The sequence below is a fragment of the Homo sapiens genome, chromosome 12, assembly GCF_000001405.40.
Source record: "Homo sapiens chromosome 12, GRCh38.p14 Primary Assembly".
In the NCBI taxonomy this organism is placed as follows: domain Eukaryota; kingdom Metazoa; phylum Chordata; class Mammalia; order Primates; family Hominidae; genus Homo; species Homo sapiens.
In genome coordinates, this window is record NC_000012.12 from 24,248,627 (window position 1) to 24,276,354 (window position 27,728).

General features: G+C 35.6%; 1 protein-coding gene across 20 annotated transcripts in view; it reads right to left on the bottom strand.

The window, feature by feature from the left end:
* The window catches only part of SOX5 (SRY-box transcription factor 5), a 1,033,147-nt gene that overhangs the window by 719,123 nt on the left and 286,296 nt on the right, over positions 1-27,728 (bottom strand). The gene's annotated exons all lie outside the window — the stretch shown is intronic.

A 27,728-nucleotide genomic window follows, 5' to 3' on the forward strand; every position in this document is an offset into this window, starting at 1 on the left:
CGCCTGACTTGGCCTCCCAAAGTGCTGAGATTACGGGTGTAAGTCACTGCGCCTGGCCCTTCTTTTCCTTTTTTTAAGCTTTGTTAGGTCCACATTCTCACTCTCTCTCCTTCATGTTCATCCTTGGACTGTAGTTTCTTTGTTGCTCTCTCTCTCTGTATAAGCCTTTCTTTCTAACTTTGGTAAGGTTACTTGTTTATGTTTTTAAGGATATTTTGTTCTAGGTGAGTGTTGTAATAATCACAAAAGGAATGATAAACAGGAGAAGATCTTGCCGTTCAATTGACTGAAAGAAGGTAGTATATAGAGAAAGGCTAAATAATCATACGATGGTAACCATTAGTCAAGTCACTGATTAAAAGCACGTCCTTTAGTAGAAAAAGTGCTAAAGAATGGCTTGCACGGATATATCGATACATCATGCCCACACCACTGATCAGCTCTCTGAACTGACAATAATATTTATCCTGAAGCAGTCATTTCACACTTGCCCATCACATTACCTGGCATAGAGTAGTGCTGTGTAAACGATCAGTGTTGAAACAAATGTATTCCCAGTACTGGGGAGGGAGAGTAAATGTGAAGAGGCCTTTCATAGGCTTGCACTTGCCCTCCTAACCTAACTCCTTTCCATTTGAAGGTTCCCCTGTGCAATCACTGGTTCTAGTCTTTAATTTGTAAGGTTGCTAAGACTTTTCCCATTCAATTGAGAGACAATGTTGGCATGCAGGATTTATCTATCTAGAGAGGAATGGGTTCAAAACAGAAATATGGGTGCATAAATGATACATAGCACAAGCCCTTTAAAAAAAATCATACCTGCTCTAGACCTTTCAGGGCAGGTTTTCGTGGTGTATCTTTTTTCTAATCTTACATCTAATCAGACAGCAGCCTGTAATTTTACTCATCATTACATATGGCCTATTGACAGTTGACAACAACTTTACTCATCATTACATATGGCCATTTACAGTTGACAGCTGTCACCCAGGCAAGTTCACATACGTTGCCTCACAATCACATGGCATCACAAAGAGGGTGAGATCCCAGGCCAACATGCCATTGATCAGCCAGTAATGAACCATTGCAGCTGGAAACCACCTCACTGAAATAAAACAGATCATCCCACAGACAGTACATATAACCTAAGCATGCTGCCATTAAAATGGTACCAACACATTCAAATTAAATGGTCTTTTATATTTCACTCAATACTTTAAGATCACCTTTGTTCTGGTACTTACTTCTGGCACTAGTGCTTTTTTTTCCTTTCCTATTCAAGTTGATTTCCTGCAGAAGGAAGGGAAATAGTATCACGATATTTAAACCACAAGAAAGCCCTGCTTTGAAAGATAGGGAAGCAGGCATATCTTCACATTGAGCCTCACCAAGCACTGCCATTACATTCAGTGAATGAGAGAAATCATAATACTAAGGAAACAATAGTTATATCACAAAGATGTAAGATTCTAGAAATCCATCTAAACTGCGTATTCCCAAAATCACCTCTGGTTTGAAATACAGTAGAAAAGAGTTGCTACTACTACAATGAACCAAAAGTTTATGATGGTAAAGTTTTTGTTCTGTTTAAATTTTTAAAAAGGAATATAAATTCAAGAAGCATAATCATCCTCGATATAATTTATTCACCTAGCACATTTTATATCATTGCTGTATTTATGCCAACCTATTCCAAGCAGGTCTTATGGAAGGGATTTTAGTCAGTACACAAATCCCTTTGCAGCTAGTGAATTCTAACCTTATTACCCCAGCAAGAGATAGACACTTTTTGAGACGCAGCCTAAACAAGTCAAAAGGTTGGTGTTCCATTAATACCAGCAGGAGGAGAAAATGACACTGCAGTTGTCCTTGGAACAGAGAAGCTGACAGATTTGCTGAAAGGTTCAGCCATTGTAGGATTTTGTTAAAAATCTAAAGGCAACAGCATTTCGCTTTGAAGTTCTGAAACATCTTCGAAATCAAAAAGCTCAACAAAGAATAACGTGGACAATTGAGTTTTTCAAAACTCTATTTTTATTTAACTTTTAAAACATTTTGCCTAGTAATTTATGGTGTCAACTCAATCAAAGGTACAAAGTAAGTTCATTAAGAAAGATCACTGAAGGTACCCAAACAGACTTCCAGTTCAGAAGACAGATGCCAAGGTCTAATAAGTTAAAATTAAACGCCCTACCTTCCCCATGGGCTTTCCCAACAACTCTAATTGAAAGGCACTTAACAGAGGCAGGCCCACAATTCTGTGTATTGTATACTGGCTCTCATACTGAAGCTCCCTCCCATGCAGAATGTGAAAAATCAGATTCCAGGTCCCTTGCCCTTTAATTCCTATAATCTTTTGCAGTTAAACTTAAAATCTGAGTTTTATAGTAAAGACCAACATCCAAGACTAAATTTCGTGGAGTTGGCAAATATGTTATTCTACATGGAAAGTGTTTGCGTAGCAGCAACAGGCTGAGTGAGACAGCTGAGACTAACAAAAAAACTTACTTCTACTAAGATTTATATAATTACTGTACTTCTACATAAATACAGATCTTCATTATTTTTCTCATAAACCTGGTATTTAGGAATTTAACTTGGTTCATTCTTATCCTAATCATTTATAGACTTGATCCAATTTTAGGGTTTGTCTAATTAACTGCCAAAAGTATGTTAAGGTTGAACAACTATAGTCTCAAAATACATTTTACTGATAAGATTCAGCATGGCAGGAAGTTCCTTCATTCCCTCCATTAACGTTTTGATGACCTTCTTGAATTCCCAAAATGAAATACTTCTTACATTTAATAAAATAGGTCCCATTTGCCTTATTTCTTAGGGTCAGACAGTCTATATTATAGCCTAGCTCTAAATATGAGTGAAAGTTCCAGACCCTTTTGAGGAGATATCCTTGTCCTATTGAACTAGGATGGTTAGGGTTTTTTGTTTTTTTTTTTTTCTTCAGATGAAGTCTCACTTTTGTCGCCCAGGCTGGAGTGCAATGGCGTGATCTCGACTCACTGCAACCTCTGCCTCCTGGGTTCAAGCGATTCTCCTGCCTCAGCCTCCCAAGTAGCTGGGATTACAGGCGCCTGCCACCACGCCCAGCTAATTTTTGTATTTTTAGTAGAGACAAGTTTTCACCATGTTGGCCAGGCTGGTCTCAAACTCCCAACCTCAGGTGATCTGCCCACCTCAGCCTCCCAAAGTGCTGGGATTACAGGCATGAGCTACTGTGCCTGGCCAGATTTTTTAAAAATAAATTAATAAGACAGTATATTTTATCACAGCCCAATACACCTCAGCATCACAAACCCAGTTATTAAAAAAAAAAAAAATTCCTGCTAAAAACAGAAGTGCAGATTTTCGTTAAATTTGCCAGCTTAAGTTTAATATTTTTCATTCTGCAAATCTTAATCATTTTTGCTTTTGCCAACATTACCAAATGAACAAATCTCAACAGTGAAGAAATGGTGGGAAAAGAAAGACATCTCCTATATACTTTTACACAAATGAGCACATTCCTTAGAAAACAGACCCATTTCCTCTCATTCTTTAGAGGAAAAAATGTCTTTTACATAGATCCCAACTGTATCAGTTCTATGGAAAATTAGGAACATAATGAAACAAGTTAATTTCCTAATGTCAGACATATAAGAATCATAGCAAAGACCTACGAAATTTTACCTCTAGTATTTAAGCAAAACCAATTGCTGTCACAATTTGCCTCACCTGCCTTCGTTTTTACATAGAGAATGTGTTTGGTTTCACAGGTAATTGGTAGCCTTAAGCACATGTAACTTACAATCACTGAATGAAAAGATTCGCTTTGGTGAATTAAAATGGAAAAATTTCTCCAAAATAAAGGGGGAAAGGCCAAAAAAAAAAAGTTAAGGGGATTAATAGGCAAGTGTTTCATCTATTTGCATTTAATTTGATGTCATGAAAGCTTCGGGCATCTAAAAATATACCTCTTTTATTCTTGTAAGTCTGCAAGATTTGGCTTTTGGAATAGAAACTGTTTAGGTGGGGAGGAAATTGTTGAATTCTGTGTCTATGCTTTAAAAAAAAAAAAAAAAAGAGGGTTGACCATAACCCGAGGCCCCAGCTCCTGCAGAGTGCCTGTTGTTATGAAAGCAAGGTGCTCCACACGATCTAATCATAGCACTAAACCTTGTTACAAGCCCTTTTACAGCTCCAATATCTAGGTTACATGGAAACACGCTGGAGAGCCTCCTTGTACTATGAAATAAATGTCATTCTGACTGGCATCCTCTCTTCCAGCAAGTAATTTCCCTCTGCTGATAAATCGATACAGCAAAAACAAATGAGAGCACACAATGGGCACAGTGAGGATTACATTTTTATTCATTTCAGAGCCCCTGCAGCCAAGTTTTTTAAGCACAATAGCAGAAAATGATGCACTTCAGCTAGGAAACAAGAGATACAGAGACATTGAGATAAGAAAAGAAAGACAAAAAAAGAAAAGAGGGAAAAAGTGGGAACAAAGAGAAAGCCAAGAGAAAGGAGGCAAGCGTATTCCTGCCAAGCTGCTCAGACATAAACTTTTGTTTGAGAAAAAGATTAATATTTGAATTCTTGTTCAGCTCCTCATAAAAATCATCAGAGAAGCACGTGCACATCTTTTTTTTTTTTTTTTTACTTCTTTATCCTGTAAGTTTGCAGATAATTTGAAAGGGATCTAAGATTCAACTTTTATTGATTATTGATACTAACATAGATACAACATAGGATCTTATCTAGAAAATGAAGACTAATCTAGAAAATCCAAAACTAGAAATAGTAGAAAAGACACCATTGATCCTTATTCATCTTTGGGAGTCCCCTCAAGTCATTTATATTTTTCAGTGTCTTTAAAGCAAAGATGGAAACGGCAAAACAAAAGGAAAACAAGAGCATAGTTACTATTTGTAAGAGGTGTGGGAAACCCCCATATAAATATCTTTTAAGATACTAATTTTCTAAGTCTCAATATAATTGAATGGGCTATCATGCAGAAGGAATGTGGCGCACATTGTAAAGTGAAAATTTTAAGACATTCTGTCTTTTGAAGGCAAAATGGAAAAGACCATCTCATAAAACCTTGAAAACCCCAAATTTCCTGTGAAAGGATGGCGTTAGGTTTCCTGTTATTTACTATGGCATTTAACTCTTCTTAAGGCAATGGAAGTGAAAATGAGAGAATTCTAAAGTCTTAATAAGGCTTTATAGACAATATGTTCTTGTAATCCTTCAGTTCCAAAATAATTCTTAGGCAAGTTACTTAACTATCTGTGTCTCAATTTCCTCATCTATAAAAATGTAGATGATGGTAATAGTAAGTACCTCACTGTTTTGGAAAGAATTGAGTGAATTAGTGTAAGGGCTTAGAACAGTTCCTGACTCACAGTGAGTGCCACATAAGTAATGACCATCAACATCATCATCATCATCCATTGCTTCGAAAGCTACAGTTTAGGTGTTGTCAACATTTTCTGTTTGATCTACAAGGTAACAATGCATTCAGAGAATACATTCTTAGTACCACTGCACAATACTGAACTAGATGGATTATGGGTCTCATCGGGACATAATTTTTAAATATTCTTAACTGTTCTGTGATATCCCAGAGTCAATATACTCTCTTGGTGGTCACAGGAAAGGCAAGTTAGAAAATGTATCTCTATTGCAATCCATTAGCACAGATGCTCCTTGATTTGTGAGGGGCTTATGTCCTCACAAACCCATTGTAAGTTGTAAAAAAAAAAGTCAAAAAAAAATACATCTAATACATCTAATCTACCAAACACCATAGCTTAGCCTCACCTTCCTTACCCATGCTCCAAACACCTATATTAGCCTACAGTAGGGAAAAAAAATCATCTAATACAAAGTCTTTCATAATAAAGTGCTGAATATTTCATGTAATTTATTGAAAATTGTACTGAAAGTGAAGAACAGAAGGTAGCATGGGTACTTGAAGTACAGTTTCCATTGAATATGTATCACTTGGGTTATCAAGTGGAAAAATTTTAAGTTGAACTATTATAAGTTGGGGACTGTCCATATTCTTTTTTCTTTGGGCTGCTCAAATATATATATATATATATATTTCCTATGACTTTTTCAATGATAATTCAAAGACAGTGTTTAACATATTTTAATGTTATTTATGATCTTTCTCATTTGGGCTTTAATTTTATATTCTTCTTTCTGTCTTTTAAGAACTTGGATTACTGTCAGCTTCTAGTGTCTCCATCATTCATAATTGCACTGTGTTGGTCCACCCACTTTACTCCTAAAGAAGAGGTAAGAAACAGAAGAGGAGATCACAGTGGCTCTTCAACTATTAATATACCACAGACTTCAATAACAAATGAAGAGAAACAAGAAAAGAAAGCAATGCAAAAAGAACGGTACTGCCCTCTTTCTCTCCTGAACCATCAATAAATCAAGGGTAGATAATAGCCTAAATCAGTATTTCTCCAGTTTTTTCACTAGCATCTTCCCCAGTGAACCATTTTAAATAGTTTTTCCTAATTGTCCAAATATGAAATGTTAATGCACTAGATATACTGTATATGTATATGTGTCTTTGCTGTCTACATAAAAAGAGTAAGCTTTTGTTGTCTCCCAAGAAGCAATTGTTGCCCCTAAAGTGGCAATATTGCCTTTAGACAATATATGGATTAATTCTTAGGAAAATAGCTTTCCCATTATTAGAAATATTGGGTCCAACATAATTGAGAATGTAGGCTGAAATTCACTGTTATAGTTGCATGGTTTACACGTTTTTAGCAAACCTTTAAGTACTACTCTATGGCTGTATAATTTATCTTACCCCAATTCCAAAACAGTACTTTGAGGGTGTAAGAGATATGACAGTTTGTGAAAGATGCCTGACAAACTAGAAAGCAGTTTAAGGACAAGAAGTAAGGGGGATGGAGAGTAAAGTGGAATTGTTTCCAATTAAAGCAGCTAGGGAATTAGGTAGGTGGAATGTAATTATCTACATTGGAGTTTGGCCAGGCTTCTCGACTCGGAAAAAAAATGCTCTGTGATCTTTAATGAATAGAGAGGTAGGTCCAAGTTTAACATCTCATCCAAAAAATGAAATAAGATTTCTAAGTCCTTCTTTCCCGGAACATAAGTGGCAGAAATTCTTTTTTAACGAATTTGAAACTGCTTATAAGTTCCATACTTCAATTTAAAATAATTATTTCATAAAGCCATGACTTTTGAAATGGGAGTGTTGGAGAAAAGACAGTAAAATGGCCCCAGCAATCAATAAAAGAGGCTCAATTAATAGCAAATAAAAGTGAAATCTGCGGCATTTTAAACCCCAAGTTGTTAAGTCATACCAACATATATCAAAAATTGACCTAGTTGGTTAATGTTTTCTTGGTTACCTAAAGAAGGAATTTTTAAAACAGGTCAGTTTGCTCAAAGTGTGCAAACCTTCCCCAATGACTGAGCTGCCAAAGCAGTGTAATGAAAACTGATAAGCTATGCAAACTTGGGAAGCCCGAGATGTGTGGCAGATAAATGTAAGCAGACATTATATCTTTCATAATCAGTGCAGAAGGAAAATGTGAACGGAATAAATGGTTGAGAAATATCATAGATTCCATTAGATGCAAAGATTGAAGTGTTAGACACCTTTTAGCTCAGCTTTCATTTAATTTATGGCTTTCCATTCTGTAGTCTGAAGGGACTGAAAAATTCTTTCTCTAATTTTTTCCCCTTTCATGGCTTGACCACGAAGATGAAATTGGGGTACTTTAATTACCATTCAGAGCCAAAGGCTTGCCCTTTGATATGGAAATCCCACTTCTGCGACCGCCTTTTCCCGGGCCCTTCTCCTTCTAGTTGCCCAACAGGAATTTTAAGCAGCTTTGTCACCAGCTGATAGGGAAAGCTAACTGTAGCTCTTTTCTATTAAGTTTTAAGTTACACTGCCTTTCTTTCACCAAATTGGAAGAGTTGAAAATGAGGGAGGGGAACAGAGAGAGAGGGAGTGAGAGAGAAGAGGGGCAGGGTGGGTGGGGAATGACTGACTATCCATTAGAGTTGCAGAATTATAGTTTCTCCCCTGTCAGCATGAAGCATGGCCCATCCTGCACAAAGCCTCTCACTTTAAACACACACACAGAGCATAAACCGACGAAAACTGCCATGTACAGTTACCCCGTTATTGTCATCTGCCTGCTGCATGACTCCCGGCTTTGCTATAATTATTAATTGCACTTGTCAACTGTCATTAATTCCTCTTTAGCATCCCTGTCTTTGAGTAATTAGACAGAACAGCCTCACTGAGCTCATTGTTTAGAGCCCCTTGAAAGAGCCCACTGGGCTTTCTGCAGAGAAAACCATCAGGAATACAATAGAGCACTTCTGAGTTAACCCTTTGGAAGTGTGAATAGAAGGGAAAGTACTTTCACAGGTTTGGGTGGCCTGCTTTGGTTGCTGGGTACAGAAAGTCATGGCCAGACACCTAATAAATGGAACCATGTTTTAAATGTTTCTTTCCTGCAAAGAAGGGTATTTAAGTTGAATGAAAAGTCAGAGAAAGGCCTTAGGAAAAACATAATTTCCTAATTATCATTGCTAAATTTTTAATGATTTTCTCATTTGATCATATGTTTTGTATTTTGGAAGAAACAAATTTTTCAGAAATAATATCTTCCTACATTCATTATATACATTTGCATGTACAACATAAAGGTGCATACAAAAATATGTGTATATTATGCACAAAATTGTTCCAGGTGATTTCTGATTTCTCTAAGTCACAAAAATTTTAGAAGAACAAGATTGAAGCTCTAGGGGTCTTTTTGTTTGTTTTGTTTTGTTTTTTTCTGAAACAGAATCTTGCTCTGTCGCCCACGCTGGAGTGCAGTGGCGCAGTCTTGGCTCACTTCAACCTCTGCCTACCAGGTTCAAGCAATTCTCCTGCCGCAGCCTCCTAAGTAGCTAGGATTACAGGCACGCACCACCACGACTGGCTAATTTTTGTATTTTTAGTAGAGATGGGGTTTCACCATATTGGTCAGGCTGGTCTCGAACTCCTGACCTCGTGATCTGCCCACCTTGGCCTCCCAAAGTGCTGGGATTACTGGGATGAGCCACCGTACCCGACCAAAGCTCCAGTTTTTATTTAAACCTCTTTCCAGCCTCCCACAGAAGGATCCAGTTGATGGTGCTTTTAATTGTACAACTAGTGCCTCTGACAACACGGTTTTATTTTCTTTTAAAGCCCCTATTCTGGTCAGGCGCCATGGCTCACGCCTGTAATCCCAGCACTTTGGGAGGCCGAGGCAAGTGGATCACGAGGTCAGGAGATCAAGACCATCCTGGCTAACATGGTGAAACCCCGTCTCTACTAAAATAAAAAAAATTAGCTGGGCGCGGTGGCGGGCACCTGTAGTCCCAGCTACTTGGGAAGCTGAGGCAGGAGAATCGCTTGAACCCGGGAGGCGGAGGCTGCAGTGAGCCGAGATCGTGCCACTGCACTCCAGCCTGGTAACAGAGCAAGACTCCGTCAAAAAACACACACACACACAAAAACACTTATTCTGAGAACTAAGCCATATTTGGCTTTGGGCCCATGACCCTTAAACATTCCTGAATTTAGCCAGTCTCACCTGATTAAAACAAAACAAACAAACAAACAAACAAACAAAGTGAGTTACATGGTTTACCTTTGAGCAGCAATGAAAAATGGGAATTATTGTTATCATTTTAGACGACATCATGCATAAAGAAAGCACTTGAAAACTATTAAGTATTATAAAACATCATTATTATTTTATCACCATTGGCTAATAAAACTAAATTCTGTTAGCCATTTTCTAATAACAACACTCTTAATAATAATATTAAAAAGTTACCTGTTATTTGTTAGCAAGTTACCTGTTATTTGTTAGAAATCACTCCTGTAGAAAAGCTTCTTGATCTGGCTGTTCCAGTAAAAAACAAAAATCATAAGAATTTCTCTTGAAGAAAATTAAGGTCTATGGAATTGTGGAAAATAAACTAAAGTAAAGTTGATCACTAGGAATCATTAGAGCTATTTCCTATATCATCTTAGCTACAAGATTTTTTCAGATACTAGGTGAGTGCTTTTTAGCAATAATAACATATATTGAAGTCTAGATATGTACTCTATGTACTTTATATACATTAATTCATTTACTGTCCAAATCTCTGTGAAATAGGTACTATTATCTCAATTTTAGAGATGGAAAAACTAAGCAACAAGTAGTTACAGAAGTTGTCCAGGATCGCACAGTTAGACAACGGCAGTCAAGTTCTGGTGAGCCCAAAGGCTCCATCTTAACCACTCTTCTAGGCTACCTCTCCAGGATGGAAGACACTATCTTTTCAGGTTTCCATTCAATAGGTAATGTATCTAGATTTCTGGTGGTGTTTCCTCCAGTGCAAAATAGATTAATTAATGTACTTTTAGGTTGGTGCAAAAGTAATGCTTGTCATAAAAGTATGATAAAATGTGCTGAACATCTTAGGAACTTGGCATTCTATATATTCAATGTGGAACAGTGTTGGGGAGCACAAGAAAGAGACAGAAAGAGAGCGAGCGAGAGAGAGAGCAAGTGAGCGAGAGAGAGAGCGCGCACATGGTTTTGCAAATGTAGATTAGGTATTCTCAGGCACTGTTATCGTGTTTAAATGTTAGGCTAAACTAAGAAAAACCTATTTATACATTTGTGTGTATATATTTACATATACACGCATATTGAGCTATTAACACAGTTCAATGCATTGTTTACTGAGTATTTATTGCATACGTAGACTGTGCTATGTATGTAAGGTACAGAGGGAAATAGAAAAACATAAACTGTGATTCCTAAGTAAAAGGCATTTTCAAACTTACTGAAGACAGAATTTTGAGAACCATACAATTAACACACTACAAAATGCTAAATGGAATATGATCAATGAAATAGATTAAATGAAACAGCTAAGATCAATGACAAGCAGTTACAGGGAAGAAAATTTTGAATTATTAAAAGGAAAAACTTTCTAAGTATTATAGGTGTCCAACAATGCATCAGGCTGGCTTGATAAGTAACGAATATCCATTACTAAAACATTCAAGTTGGGTGATGATCTATAAAAGAACAAAATAAAAGAATTTCTATAGTCGGTGGGACGTTGAAACAGCCTAAATACTGTTAGTGTTCATCGTGTATATCTTAGATTCCATAATTCAAAAAAATAACATTTTAGTAAGGGAGAGGAACTTTATTTCATTATTTACAGAAAAGTCATCTTGAAGAAGTTTGATGTTGGATTTGATTTTGAAAGACGAATTGGAGATTAAGAAGTGGTAATAAGAGTAAAGAAAAAAACCCAAATAGAATTACAAGCACAAAGAGATGTAGAAATAAATATTTCTTGGAAAGATAAGCTTAAAAGGCCTTCCTCACTTACTCCAAGGGTAAGATGGGAATGGTATGAGAGGAGTGGGTGGGGATGGTATGAGAGGGAGTGAGGAAGAAGTAACAGAATAAAAGCTGTATCTGTGGAAAACAGGCACACTGGAGAAGAGCATGATGAAGCATCGTTTTCACTGATTCGCTGACGAGGAGCATGATGGGTGACCTGTTAATCAGGAGATAGCTGGAGTTTAGTACTGAGTTATATGGGAATAGAGATCTCGTTTCCACTACCTACAAAGGGAACTTAGGTAAATTACTTGACCTTCCTCTAACTTGGTAGAATATCATAGGATTGTTACGATGACTTAAAAGAGTTAATCCATAGAAAAACATTTAGAAAAGTGCCTAGCACACAGTGAGCATGTAATAAATGTTAGCCATCATTATTATTACAATATACCTATTGCTAACCAATACATCTTAATTGATGTTTAATGAGTATAGTACAGGGGAAGAGAGATGATTTAGGGTGGTTACTTTTCTAACAGAGCTCCTGCAAAGTGAAATGGACTTCCTTAGGTAGTGATATCTTTTTCTTATTTAAAGTACTTATGATGAAGAGAAGTCATCTATCATAATGTTGTGAAGAGGTTTTCTGCAAGGAATGAGAAGTTGGATCACATGTCTCTTAGCTCTCTTCTTCTTCTAAAGTGCTGAAATTCTAAGTGATTAACAGTCAGTCTTACCAATTAATAAGAAATCCATACTTTTAGTCATTGGAAAAAAATGAAATTTAGGTAATAATTTCTCAACTTTGGGTTGATGAAGCACTATACTATTAAGAGTGTGAGCTTTGCAGTAAGATTATGTAGACTCACATCCTGGTTGGGTCATTTAATTCTACTTGTGTAAGCCTTGGACAAGGGCATTTTAATTTGCACATGCCTCAGATTCCCAAATTAAAACCATGATGATAATAATAGTAATTCTTATAGGTTTGTTTCGAGGGCTCAATGAGTTCAAACAAACATGTAAAATATTTATAAAATGCTTATGAGTGTTCAATATATGCTAACTTTATCCTTGTCATTGAGATTTTACGTGTAGAATGTAAAAGAATAAGAAATACTAAATTTTAGAGGAAAAAAAACTATATCTACAGCAAAAGCAAATTTTAAAACTCTCTTTTCATACTTTCATTATTCACCCTTTGTAGTACTCCAGTCAATGTGACTAAAATTTTTAGCAGAAAAGGTAGCTGATGGACTCATCCTGAACAGTTTTGGGGTATATGAGCCATTAAGGACTTTGTAGCAAAGGATCACTCCACTGAATTTGTATTACTTGGATTTACCATTGCTCCCAACACCCACTCTCGTTAAAAGCATTTACACAGTTTCTGTTGGGGAACCTATATTACATTTTACTTTTGGTTGCTTGAATTCGAAAATCCACTCCCACCTACCCACCCCAAAGCCACACCACACCACACAGGAGAAAAATCTTTGAGGCCATAAACACAGCATATGCTGAATATTGACACTTCCCCTATAGGAAAAAAAAATCAATGGCACCTCACTATTCACCAAATTAGACAAGATTAGCAGGTGGAATTTAATGACCTGAAATTGACAGACTTATGTGTCGCTACTGCCTTAATATTTCTGAGCCAAACTGAACTACACGGTTTTTTCTGTCTCTGCACCTTTGTGCATCCTGTCTCAGTTCTCTCCTCACTTCCACCATTCAAGGCTCCACTCAAATACCATCGTCTTAGCTTTGCCTTTTTGGATTCCCGCTTCTACTCCATAACCTCTTCTTCCTCCATCCCAAGCCTGTGAAACCTCTTCTGTTTCTGATATATGAAATATACCAAAAAATATCAATTTTAAAAGCATATCAGATCGTGAAAATAAAAATGAGAGGTTGTATTGTGGTAAATATATTCCATAAATGTTTATATCGTTGGCTACGGAGACTTCAAATTTGGCACCATTTTAGTAGTGAATGGCAAAAAAGAGTACCGATTAGGTATACAATTCACAGGCATCATTAGATAAAAACAGACTACTGCTCAGGGGCAACATAACATGTAAGAGGAGTCAGAAATTTCTCCCAAGGAGTCTCAGAGACTACAAACTGTAGGTTGCAATGAAACAATTCTGCAACGAACGAAATTCTCGATGGGCATAATGAGTTGTATGGGACTCTTTCTTACAGCAGCCCTCAATCAAGGACAGTGACACCACACTAAACATAGGTCTTAGAAACCACTTACTTGAGGTCATTAGAAGGCATTCAAAGACACATCTCCTTGCCTGTCTGCCTTAGTTTAGAGGTAGATTTCAAAATACCTCCAAAGAATCACATATCCCTCAAACCACTTTTCCTAAATATTGTTTGTCACCATTGACAAACAATGATTTCTCCCAGATGTTGTGGAGCAATAAATTTGAGATTGTTGTCTCTAAAAGAAGTGGGATTCAGATAATCTACATGGGCAAACATTAAACCAAACGCCCACGATTAAACTCATAGCAAGGTGACCCCATCTTGAGACAACTGGCATTCCTAATATGGACAGCTTCTTGATGCAAAGAGCTCAGAAGTGAGTTGTTAACCTTTGCATTCTTCCTTTCACTGGAGGGACTGATGCATTTTCTCCTCTCTCACCTCCAGCTCCACCTCAGGACTCTAACATTTTTGAAGACAAAGGTCCCATTTTCCTTATTCTTGTGTCCTCTGCAACAACCAGCTTTCTGCCTCCTTTTCCATCCAACTCTTGACACAACTTCTGACAAAAGACTAGAGAGGATAGGTAGTAGGCATATCTGAAATGGGATTACCATCAATAGACTGGGAGTGCAACATACATACATTGCCTCCAAAATGTCTTATAAGGAAATTACTGGGCTGCGCGCAGTGGCTCATGCCTGTAATCCCAGCACTCTGGGAGGCTGAGGTGGGCAGATCACCTGAGGTCAGGAGTTCGAGGCCAGACTGGCCAACATGGTGAAACCTTGTCTCTACAAAAAAAAAAGGAAAAAATTAGCCGGACATGATGGCGGGTGCCTGTAGCCCCAGCTACTCAAGAGGCTGAGACAGGAGAATTGCTTGAACCGGGAGGCAGAGGTTTCAGTGAGCCAAGATTGCACCACTGCACTCCAGCCTGGCTGACAGAGCAAGACTCCATCTTAAAAAAAGGAAGAAATTACTAGGCCGGGTGTGGTGGCTCACACCTGTAATCCCAGCACTTTGGGAGGCCCAGGTGGGTGGATCATGAGGTCAGGAGATCGAGACCATCCTGGCTAACACGGTGAAACCCCGTCTCTACTAAAAACACAAAAAAATTAGCCGGGCGTGGTGGCGGGGGCCTGTAGTCCCAGCTGCTCGGGAGGCTGAGGCATGAGAATGGCGTGAACCCAGAGGGCGGAGCTTGCAGCGAACCGAGGCCGTGTCACTGCACTCCAGCCTGGGCGACAGAGCGAGACTCCGTCTCAAAAAAAAAAAAACAAAAAAAAAAACAAAAACAAGAAATTACTAAAAGGAAGATGAAACAATACAGAATATATTAATAATCTTTGTTTCTGTACATTTTGAGCACTTTGTTCAAAGATAACCTAAGCATATCGTTAAAATAAAAAAATAGATTAAAATCTTAGGTAATGAACATCTTGGAGATTGCTATGCAAGTACTCAGTATATATGTAACTAAGATAAATTTGCTGAGCAATATTTACCTACGTAGCATTTCTACTTTCACAGGGGTACTGTTTCAAACTGGAAGTTCCTCAAAGAAATTTCAAATCAGATTTCTCCTCTGCTGGCATTCCTGCACACTTGTACTTTCTAGTAGTTATGCAGCCTTAATCTTCTAGAAATTTAGATCATAATTCCAAGAGTTATTAGGTTGGAAAACAGCTTCTGGGCAAATGATGTTATTCCAAAAACTTTTTACACCAGAAATAATAGTTGGATTATTTCTGCCTCATAGTCTTCAGGCTTGATTTTTAATGTAATTTAAATATACTGACATGACTTTTTTCTTTTTACTTTTAAATAACAATACTCTTAAAACATAAGGGAGAGGTGAGGGAATAAAGATATGACAAGAGTTTTTAAAAGGTTAACCTTTGCTTTGAGCTTCCATTTCTGTCCAGTTTAGCCTATTCTTTTGTATTCCAATGGCATTAGATAGATATCTTGGTATTTGCTATTTAAGGATAAATCAACACATTGAGTTCTATTAAATTTCTGTCACTCCTTTCTAAAATAGCTAGTAAATCTATACATACATTTTCTTTTAAAAAATTTTTTCTTGCTCTTGAAAAGTTATATTTTTCCTAAAATGTAAATATTTGTCTATGAATTTTGATATCAGTATGAAGTTTAAAAATAGAAAAATGTTCATGTACTAAAACTCACTTATTTAAACCTCACCGTCTGAGGTGTGTTGAACAATGGAAGAACACAGAATTCATTTTGTAAAGGAGTCCTTTAGAGTCAAATAGGTGAGTTCATTTGAATAAGTTATCAAATGTATTTATCTTTATTTTAATAATTTGCTTCATCCTCTGCATCCTTTCGTTAGAATAATCACGTCTTCAAATTAAGGCATTTGGTTACAAAAGTGTGGGGAAAAGGTGGAAATGCAGAGCCTTAAAAAATCCCTCTGTAAATGTATCTGTAAATTCATGGATATGAATTATGCTCATGAGATAACTGCTTCATTAATAAAGGAAAAAGTGACTACAAAAACACTAGAAGAGTGGTAGAGGGATTTGAGTTTTCAAAAGTTGAATATTACAATAACGGATGATGTCTATTATAAAGGATGCTGAATTTATTTTCAAAGTATTCCAAAAATCTCAAATCTGGAGTATTGTTCTCAGTGACAGGGAGACCCAGTTGAATTCAAATTAAGGCAAAAGTTGATACAACAGGAAGAACTACCCAACTAGGGGAGGCATATCAACCCGAAAGCCTGCTGTCTCCAGAAGCAGTGTGTCCCCCAACTTACCATGGGGATTTTCTGAGCAAATCTTGGATGAACTTGTTATCACTGTTATAGCATATTATTCTGCCATGTAGACTTGAGTTTCAATATATTGAAATTTTCGAAAAACAATTTGTTCCTCTAGATTTTCTCTAATTAAAAAATTAGAAGAAATAACTTAGATTCTAAGTTGAAATAGTAATCTATGTATACAGAAAATGCTGTCATTAGAAATAATATGGCCAGGTGTGGTGGCTCACGCCCGTAATCTTAACATTTTGGTAAGTTGAGCCGGGCCCTTGAGCACAGGAGTTCGAGACTAGCCTAGGCAACATGGCAACACTCCGTCTCTACAAAAAATACAAAAAAGTTATCTGAGAGTGGTGACATGTGCCTTCAGTCTTAGCTATTTGTGAGGCTGAGGTGGGAAAATCACTTCAGTCCAGGAAGCGGAGATTGTAGTGAGCTGAGGTCGTGCCACTGTACTCCAGCCTGGGCAACAGAGTGAGAGTCCATCTCAAAAAAAGAAAAGAAAAATAATATATAAAGACTACTACATTGATATTTATGGTTTAAAAGTGATATGCATTTTTCTTAAAATGAAAGTAATATGTGTTCATTAAAGAAATGTAGCTGAAACATACAATTGAGAAGAATAAATTTTGAAATCAGCTATAATCCTATATAGTGTAGGTAAAGCATTTTAGTGTTATCTATACACTCTTGTTCTATGCATGCATGTGCACATATGTACTCATTCAACCAATATTTCTTGAATATTTCCTATGACTCTGGTGTGGTTTCTCATGTCATTATAAAATTATTTTTCAGTAAAATTAATATTGCATCATACACGACCACCACAATTTATCTAACCAGAGTCTTATATTTCTTGACACAAGGTTGCATTTTATCACCCAAGTTGGAGTGCAGTGGCATGATCATGGCTCACTGCAGTCTTGATCTCCTGAGGAGCTGGGACTACAGGTGTATGCCATCATGCCAGCTAATGTGTGTGTGTGTGTGTGTGTGTGTGTGTGTGTGTGTGTGTGTGTGTGTGTTTTATTTTGGTGGAGATGGGGTTTCACCATGTTGCCCAGGCTGGTTTCGAACTCCTGGACTCAAGTGATCCAGCTGCCTCAGCCTCCCAACGTGCTAGAATTACTAAAGGCTAAGCCACTGTGCCTGGCCCAGGGCCCATTTTTAATAAACAGGTTTTCAGTTTTGTGTTACTATTAACACTATATCCCTTTAGCTATAAACGTGCATATATGTATAACTAAATATAAATATATACCGACATACACGCACATATGATAATATATATATGGCAAATTGCTAGAAGCATAAGCATCAACATTAACAGACTTTTAATGTGCACTGTGTGAAATGGTTCTGGTACAGTAACACAATTGACACAACTGGACACAGAAAGTGAGAGGCTTCATCTCACCGGAATTTCTTCAGCATTGGTTACTGTGGCATTTTTAATCTTCACCAATTTGCTAAGTGAACTATGATCTCAATTTAATTTGAATTACTTGATGATTTATAAAAATCAAACATTTTATGTTTATTCTTCATTTAACTTCCTCCTATTAACTGAATATTTCTATTATTTCTATTTCTATTCATTTGTAAGCAGTTTAAATGATATCCTAATTGCATCTGTTGAACATAGGAAAATGCCAATAGTTGACCAGTTTTAACAAAAATGGCAATTTAGGTTGTTCCGCCTAATGTACTGCAAATATATTTCTTAGATTTCCATTTGTCTGCCAGTCTTATCATTTAAGATGCAAAGAAGCTTTTTCATTTATGTGATCAAACCTATCACAATTTTTCTTTGGTGATTATCACCTTTGGTGTAATGCTTTAAAAGGACTTTCAACCCTCCTCCTACTTCTATTCACCAACACTGTCTCTTAGTATTTTTATGGTTTCTTTTGATGAGAATTTAAATCTCTAATCCTTCTAGAATTCATATTGGTAATGGTATAAAATTGTAACGTTTTTCTAAATACTTATAAATCTGCCTTGAAACCATGTCTGTCACAAAGATTTGACATGTCTAGGATAACACTTGTGCCACTCAGGAGGCTGAGGTGGGAGGAACACTTGAGCCCAGGAGATCAAGGTTGCAGTGAGCCAAGATGACATCACTGCACTCCAGCCTGGGCAACGGAGCAAGACCCTGTCTCAAAAACAAAACAAAACAAACAAACAAAAACCTTACCATGTTGTGAGGGGAGTTAAATTCCCTAATTATAGTCCAAACATCATGTTTATATTTTGCTATATCATAGAATATTATAAAACACCAATGACTCATACAATGTAAGTTACTTTCACAAATTATCTAAAAGATGCATAGATATGAGCATTATGTAAGAAAATAAAAAACACAATTCATAATTATGAATTAGGGAATACTTTTACATTCATTTTAAAATTAATCTCAGCACTTTAACCTCACTTATGTATGCAAAATATATTTGCATTTACAGAATATGACTGTGAGCAACACTTCCACTGACATGATAAATAATCTAGAATTTCTGTACTCTAACTTTGCAGAAAGTACTATGAAAACAGTTTGGGTTCATGGTTTTTACTTAAATTATTCTTGTTAGGACAACTTCTTTGTCTTTCTAAAGAAAGACAAAAAATAAGCAATTGCTTGTTCACATATATTATGTTAAAGGCTTTTAGTCAAAAGTTCATGTATTATTTTATTTGGAAGTAAAAATCCTCTTCATTACAAATGATTGCTGGACAACAGAATGATGCTTATGCAATTGTTATTATATTCTTAAGGAGCAGATTTTCTCATCTGACTTTTAAAAAGTAATAAAACTCAAATTGTCCCATAACTTTTGAGAGATTCTCACATATTTTTAATCAATGAGGAAGCTGAAAAGCCATAGCAAAAAAAACTGTACAGAAGACCATTATATTCGTCCAGGCTAGGGTTTGAGGGCTGCCTCAAGTGGATCAGTATTGGCTACTCAAGTGGCAATACCTAGTTCCAAGATCAGGAAAATGAAGCATTTCTACTGAGATGGCATTATGTTACTTAAGTTGATGTACGTTTTGAAATTAACTCCATAATTCAAAAGTGTGCTAGTAAAACTCTCCCAGTGAATTATATGTACATACACTTGAAACACCCAGAAAATAAGTCTAATAATTTTATGCTAACCTATTCAGATAAAATATTTGTATGTAGAGCACGAAGACAATCAAGTATAATCAGGCATTTAAACAAATAATGTTGTGTTAAGAAAAAAATTATAAGGGTATGGTAGCATTAGATTTAAGTATTCCTTTAGCCTGCTTTGCATGGTGTTTTACTGAAAATGCTTCATTATCTTGGTGAGACCAAGCTGAAAGTATATTAAAAAAAGGAGTCTTACTCAAGAGATTTACGTGTACAATAAGAAACAATTTACAACGATTTTTAAAGGTTCTGAAAGACAATGAGAAATAGAAATAGACTAAAACAAAAATGTTACACCTTTCAGAAGATATACGATCATATAATGAATTATTAAGAAACAAAGGATGTACATCCAAAGACTACTTTCAGGAATCAATTCTACCATATGTTACAAGAGAAATGTGGATGAAATTGTAGAGCAGAAACAATTAGGTGCACAGGTATGTAGCATCAGGAGCCTTTATTTGTGAAACCTAAAATCTGTGCCTTCTTTATTAAAGTAATAACCAGGATTTTTATTTCAGAGGGTCATTGGATTTGGCCAAGGTCTTTCATTCTTGTTAATTATTATGTGTTCAGAGTAATGCACATTTTTATCTACAGGTGGCAGACCTTTTAAAAATCAATTTCAGTCATATTCAGTATTTTGTTTTGGTGTGTGCATATTTTTTAGCTGCCATCCCCATTAAAATGTAACAGTGTGCTATTCAGAGTTCTCATTAATGTTGCACAATTTAGATGATAGATTTGTCAACAAAGTGGCTCATTCTCAAAGGCCAGTGAACCCTGTCGGGATAAATGCCTTAAAAATTGTATATTGCAGGGTAATCTTTAATTATATAGAACTCACTTGACAATTTACAGTATATTGGGATTATTTTCCTTTTTCAAGCAATAAAGCATTTTACTTTATAGATTAGGGTGACTGAGGGAAAAAAGTGATTGGATTTGATAAATAGTTAAAGCAAAGAGCTTGCTTATTTGCAAGTAAAAGAGAAAGGTGACCAAAAGGCGTGTACAAATGACAACCACTTAGGATCACAAATTATTAAGTAGCTAAATGGTTAAAGCAAATAACTATAAATGCAGTGACATTTTAAAAGAATGTTAACACAGAAAGAGATAAGCAAAACAAAAATATACTGACACCAATGGTATAACTAATCATTATCCTCAATTTAACTTCATAAAATCTTGGATTTAAATACCTATGTGAAGTTTCTTATTTTGTTGTGTTGGTTTTGGTCAATTCAGCATATAATATGGTGTTCAACTAAGCCTTTTTGTGACTATTATTGATTTGTTGGAAAGGATTTTTAACAGAGAAGTACTCAAAATATATGTAAACGTCCATAACTTTATAGTTCTCAAAACATTTTTATTCCATTCAATCTAATACCTTTCTATGCCTACTATCCTTTATCACATTTCTTTATTTTTATTCTTTTTTTTTTTTTTTTTTTGAGACAGGGTCTTGCTTTGTGGCCCCGCTGGCACGAATGCAGCTCACTACAGCCTTGAACTCCCGGGCTTAAGGTATTCTACTGACTCAGCTTCCTGAGTAGCTGGGAATACAGGCATGTTCCACCATGCAATTTTTTTTTTTTTTTTTTTTTTTTTTTTGAGACAAGGTCTTCCTATGTCACCTAGGCTGGTCTCAAAACTCCTGAGCTCAAGGCATCTTCCTGCCTCAGTCTCCCCAAATCCTGGAATTACTGGCATGAGCCACCATGCCCAGCCTGGTATTCTTTTCCAGAATACTGGACAGAATAAATGCTTATTTTAGTATCCTATTTTTGTTCATTTCTAATGTGGGAAACTCTTTTTCTTTTTTTGAGACAGAGTCTCACTTTGTCGTCCAGGCTGGAGTGCAGTGGCACGATCTCAGCTCACTGCAACCTCCACCTCCCGGGTTCAAGCAATTCTCTGCCTTAGCCTCCCGAGTGGCTGAGATTACAGGCACCCACCATCACACCCAGCTAATTTTTGTATTTTTAGTAGAGACAGGGTTTCACCATCTTAGCCAGGCTGGTCTTGAACTCCTGAGCTCGTGATCCACCTGCCTCAGCCTCCCAAAGTGCTGGGATTACAAGTGTAAGCACCACGCCTGGCCTAATGTGGGGAACTCTTTATAAGAACCTTCAATTATTTTACTTAATTTTGAAGATGTCTCCATTTAATTTATACTATTTGCCAGGATATTTCTCCCACTTAAAGCATAAAACACCACAAAAAAATTAATGAAATCTATCAACTATTTGCTCTATTATTTTAAGATTTATCTATCATGAGATATATGTACAGAATATGTTCAGTTTAACACATAGTAATAAAGCACATGCCCATGGAAGCACCACACAGGTCATTACTGGCACTCTCTCTTGAGTTAGAAGTGTTCCTGGACACAAATTCTGCACCCTGACCTCAACCTCTTTCCTCATTCGTAGATATCAGCACTCCCTGGCTTTTACACTAGTATTTCTTGCTTGTCTTTAGTCTTCCTATCTACAGTGTGTTCCTAAATGATATAATTTAGTTGGCCTAGAATCATCCTGTCTGTATTCTGATGTGTCTTGATTTTTCCAGCTAATATTAATTACAGCACTAAGATTCTTCCATTTTCAATACTTCACATGTCATTGTACGATTGTTCTATAATTTTCCAACTTGCTGATTACAGCTGAGTTATTTCCGGATTTTTTGGCAAATACAAATATTTCTCATGTAAACCATCTTGTAGATTTCTTCTGACACATATATACACATATTTCTCTAGGATATTTATCTCTAGGAATAATAAAATTGCTATTGCTTAAGCAAGGGCTATAAATTTCAACTTTACTAGGTACTGTATCTAAAAGTAGTTGTTCCAACTTACATCCCAACAAGCCCTTGATGAGTGTTGCTATTGCTCTCCAACCTTGTCAACGCTTTGAACTGCTAGACGTTCTACTTTTCTCTATTCTGAGGCATGTGTAGTGGAATCTCATTAAGAGTTTATGTTGTATCTCCTGGCTACTACTGAGACTAAGGATTTTTTCATGTCTTGGACATTATTTCATATATTGGGCATTTTCAAATTATTGTCCATTTGCATTTCTTCTTTTGCCTTTTTCTACTGGACTATGTGAACTTTAACAACGACTTGTAGTTTTTTAAAAATCAATTCTGAATACCAACCTTGTCAATGATGTTTTTGAAATTTATTCTATTACTCTAGGTCCTGTTTTTCACTCTTTTTATGGCGTTTTCTGATAAACAACAACAAGAAAATGTGTTGTGTGCTTTTTTGGCTTAAAGAATCCTTCTCTACTCCTAAGCCATATTCCCAGGTTATGATCTTAGAGTCTGTCAATATTGTTCTGTCCCTTACACTTAGGTTTCGGCCAACTAAAATTGATTTTTCTGTGTGATGTGAAGTAGAGATCCAATCTTATTTTTTACATGGAAAATGAATTTTCTCAGTATCCACGTATTAAAAATTTATTTCTCCACTTTAAAGGACTGCCCTTATTAGAAATAAAGTATCCATATTTGCAAGAGTCTGACTTCTCTATTGTCTCTCATTTGCCTACTTGTCTATCCATGCAGGAATGCCATACTTTCTGAATTAACGGAGCTCAATAAAATCTGTAGGGCAAGTCTTCCTACCCATTGCTCCTTTATAAAGAGTATCTTGACTATCTTTTGCCTTTCACATTTTAGAATTAACTTGTGACATTTCACACACACACACAAACACACACACACACACAATGTACAGATAACAAGAAACAAAGACAAAAACAGAATATTTATTGTGATGGCATGGTACTTATAAATCAATAAGGGAGAAAGAGACATCTTTACAATATTGGATCTTTTCAATGCATGAATATGGTATATCTCATCATTCATATCAGCCTTAGAAAATATTACTTAATAATGTTTCACAATTTTCCCCATAGAAATATTGTGCATCTCTTATTACCAGAAACTAGAAAAAATGATGCTGATATATAGAAAAACTGTACATTATACTATATTATATGCATCAGTCTTGCAAAATTGTCTTATTAACTCATATCGTGTGCCAATAACGACAGTTAGTTGTTTCTTTTTCAACCCTAATAACTTTATTTCCTTATCTTTCTTTACTGCATTGACTAGGATTTCTAGAAAAATACTAAATAGCAGGGGTGATAGCAAATATCCTTGTCTTGTTCTTGAACACAGAAGGAAAGCCTTTAACATTTTACTATTACGATTTATCTTTGCTGTATGTATTTTATATCACATTAAGGAAGTTCCTCCCTGCTTTTAGTTTTCCAAAAAATTTTTAATACAAGAAACAGATGTTGAAATTTATTAAATGCCTTCCCTGCATTTATTGAAATGATCATATGACTGTTTTAATCTGTATTAAATTGTTTATTTTTTTACATATTATCAAACCTCGTATTTCTGGAATAAACCAACTTGGTCATAATTTTATATTAAATGATTACATGATTAAATTTTTGTTTTATATATTGCCAAATTTGAATTGCTAATATTCTGTTGAGGATATTTCCACTTATAATCACAAGAGGAATTGGCCTGTAAGTCCTTTTTCATACTATTCTCATCAGCTTTGGTATGAAAATTATATGATAATTATAAAATGAATTCGGATTGTTACCTCTTCTATCTTTTGAAAAAAAAAAAATTATGTAACATTAGACTTTGGCTGAGTGCAGTGGCTCACGCCGGTAATCCCAGCACTTTGGGATGCCAAGGCGGGTGGATCACTTGAGGTCAGGAGTTTGAGACCAGCCTGGCCAACATAGTAAAACCCCGTCTCTACTAAAAGTATAAAAGAAATCAGCCAAGCATGGTGACATGTGCCTGTTAAGCGTGGTGACATGTGCCTGTAATACCAGCTACTTGGGAGGCTGAGGCACAAGAATCGCTTGAACCTGCAAGGCAGAGGTTGCAGTGAGCCAAGATCAAGCCACTGCACTCCAGCCTGGGCCACCCAGTGAGACGCGGTCTCAAAAAAAAGATTAGACTTATTTCTTCCTTGAATTTGCCTGCAAAGTCATCTTGGTCAAGATTTTGCTTTTGCTTTATAGGACGATTTTTGATTACTGAATTAAATTTCCTTTATAGTTATAGAACTATTCAAGTTCTCTACTTCACTTCAGCAAATTTTGGCATTATATTTTTCTAGAAATGTTCCCATTCATCCAACTCTTTATATTTACCCCAAAAAAATTTATACGTATTTCTTACCAGCTGTTTGATATCTGCACATCTGTTGTGGTGCTTCCTTTTTCAATACTGATATTGGTAATCTGCCCATTTCTCTTGCATTTTAGCTCAGTCTCATCAGAGGTTTGAAACATTTATTCACCTTTTCCAACAATCGGTTTTTTGGCTTTCTTAGTCCTCTTTGTTGTACGACTGTTTTCCACCTTGTTAATTTTGTTCTTACTTTAATTAATTTCTTCCTTTTATTACACTGAGTTTATTTTGTTGTTTTATAACTTCTTGAGAGGAATTCTTGGCCTATAAATTTTTGCCCTTTGCTTTTATAATATGTTCATTTAGGTTATAAATTTCCCAGTAAATACTTCTTATAGGCATTCTGTAATTGTTATATGTAGGATATCTATTATTGTTTAGTCTAAAAACTTTCTAGTTTCCGTTGTGATTTCTTTTTAATTGTGAAACTATATTCCTAGCTCTATTTCTGTTTGCAGCTTCATTTCATTGTGGTACAACTTTAATTCTTGGAAAATGGTTGAGGCTTAATTTAATAAGATATTCATTGACTTAGAATATGGTCAATGTTTATCATTGTCTCTTATGTGCTTGACAATAATGTAAATTTTACAGTTGTATGCAAGGTTCTACATATATCCATAAGGTCATGTTTCTTAATTTTGCCATTCAACTAAATCTCACCAATTTTTCTATTTTATTGTATCAATTACTAAGACAAGTGAATTAATATCACTGCTATTATACAGTTGTTTATTTCTCTTATTGTTCTATCAATTATTTCTTAATACACTTCAAGATTATGTTATTAGGGGCATTGAGATTTAAAATTATTCTGTCTTCCTATTGAATTGAAACTTCAATCATTTATAAAGTGACTCTATCTCTAGTAATTATTTGGGCTTTAAAGTCTATTTTGCTTAATGAACTTTAAACACTAGTCACACCAGTGTCCACATAGTATCCATTTGCATGGTAAAATGTTTTCCATTATTATTTACCTCTGACACATGAGAAGTCTGAGCAATAGCAGTTAGGGAACAAACCCAAAAGTAAACAGGTATAAGTGGTACAATTAGGAGACAGACCCAAACAATCTGTCTCCAACGTCTATGCTTCCAAACATCATACATCATGTGTCTCTTACAAGTTCAAAGAGTAAAGTCAGTTTAGGTTTTGAAAGGAAAAAAAAAAAAAGCTTTCACTGTCATCTCCACAATATTTTCTCACATTGCTATCAAATTGTGATTTTTCACTCATCTTAGAGTTAGATTCTCACTCTTCTAATATTCTAAGGTAACATAATACTTAAAAAAAATCTTAATCCAGAACTGCAGTACTCAACCTCTTCCACTTATACACAAGTTGTGCTTTGTGCCTTTGAAATAGGCATGCATACCAGAAGCCTTCATGTGTTTATCCAATGCCACTGAACTGTAGCACGGTACCTTGAACTGCCCTAAGCTAAAAGAGGCAGCCAGGCTGCAATATGATCAAGATGTCTAAGTGGTTGTATGGATCTACTGAGCAGGAATCCTCATTTCAACCCGACTTTGGGAAAAAGTAACCAAAAGGATGGGTGCTGGGCTGTTTCAACTCTCCTTGAACAGAGATATATATAGTGTCTTAACAAACAGGGGCACTTAGCAGCTTATATATACCTTCTGAAAATCCACACCTTTTATATTTCTCAAATTTTAATATTAAATTATACTATTTAAAAACTCTGTAAACTATGAGGAAAATTAAAACTTCTCATGAGTCCATTATCCAGAGTTAATTATATTCGATGTGTTTATTATTTTTTCTATTAATTTTTCTGTGTTTGTAATATATATGCACATGTAGAGATATATATGTGCATACATGTGTGTACATAAATACCCACAAACTTGGAAACATAGTATATCTTTAGTGTAGACTCTGATTTTTTAATTTAACATTGCATTATGCATAATTTTATGTCTTTTAAAATTCTTTAGAAAAGAATTTTAAATACCAAATATCAAATTTTAAATATCAAATGAAATACTCATTTCATTCTGGTTGCAGGATATCCCATCATATAAATGTATTCAAATTTATTTAGCCACTGCTCTACTGCTGAACAGTTAAATCTATCTAAAATCTTCCACTTATAAATATATGAAAATTAACTTAAAAGAAATATAAAATTTTATCTTGTTTAAACTGTTATGTTGGATCTGGATCACTTGCAACTAAATATCTTCCAAACTAATAGCATGGGAATGTTACATAGAATGCTTTGACAACATTTAAGGCTGTTTACAGAAGTGGCCAAATTCCTTCCTGGAAAGTTGAACAAACACAAGGTTTCCCCAAAATTGTTGAAAATGTCCATCTCTCTACATTCTTGTTATATTATTATTATTCCAAATTACTCTCCCCTAGTTAGATAAGTGAGGCATAGCTTTGCATTCCTTTTATTACCTTTTGTATTAGTTATATTCCTTATTAACTACTTGTTCTTGTATCTCATTATCTTTTAAATTAAGATATCACTGTCTTTCTTATAACTGCTCTTTACATTTAATGTTTGCCATATTTATTAGAAGCAGTAGTCTCAGTTTGTCATTTGCCTTTTAATTTTATTTATATTGGTATTTTTGCCTGTAAACCTATAGAATTTTTGTTTGGAATAATTTGGTTGTGACTTATTCCACTTTTGTTAGTATAAAAATCCATTATTCGCTATGTTTTCTTCTATATTATATTGTTTCATTTGTCTGTGAATATATGAAGCCTGAGTTATAAGTATTTTAATAATACTGTTTGGGATTTTAACAATTTTGTTTTTAAAAGAGGTAACCACTACCATTAATTCTAAGGGTTTTCACACATACAC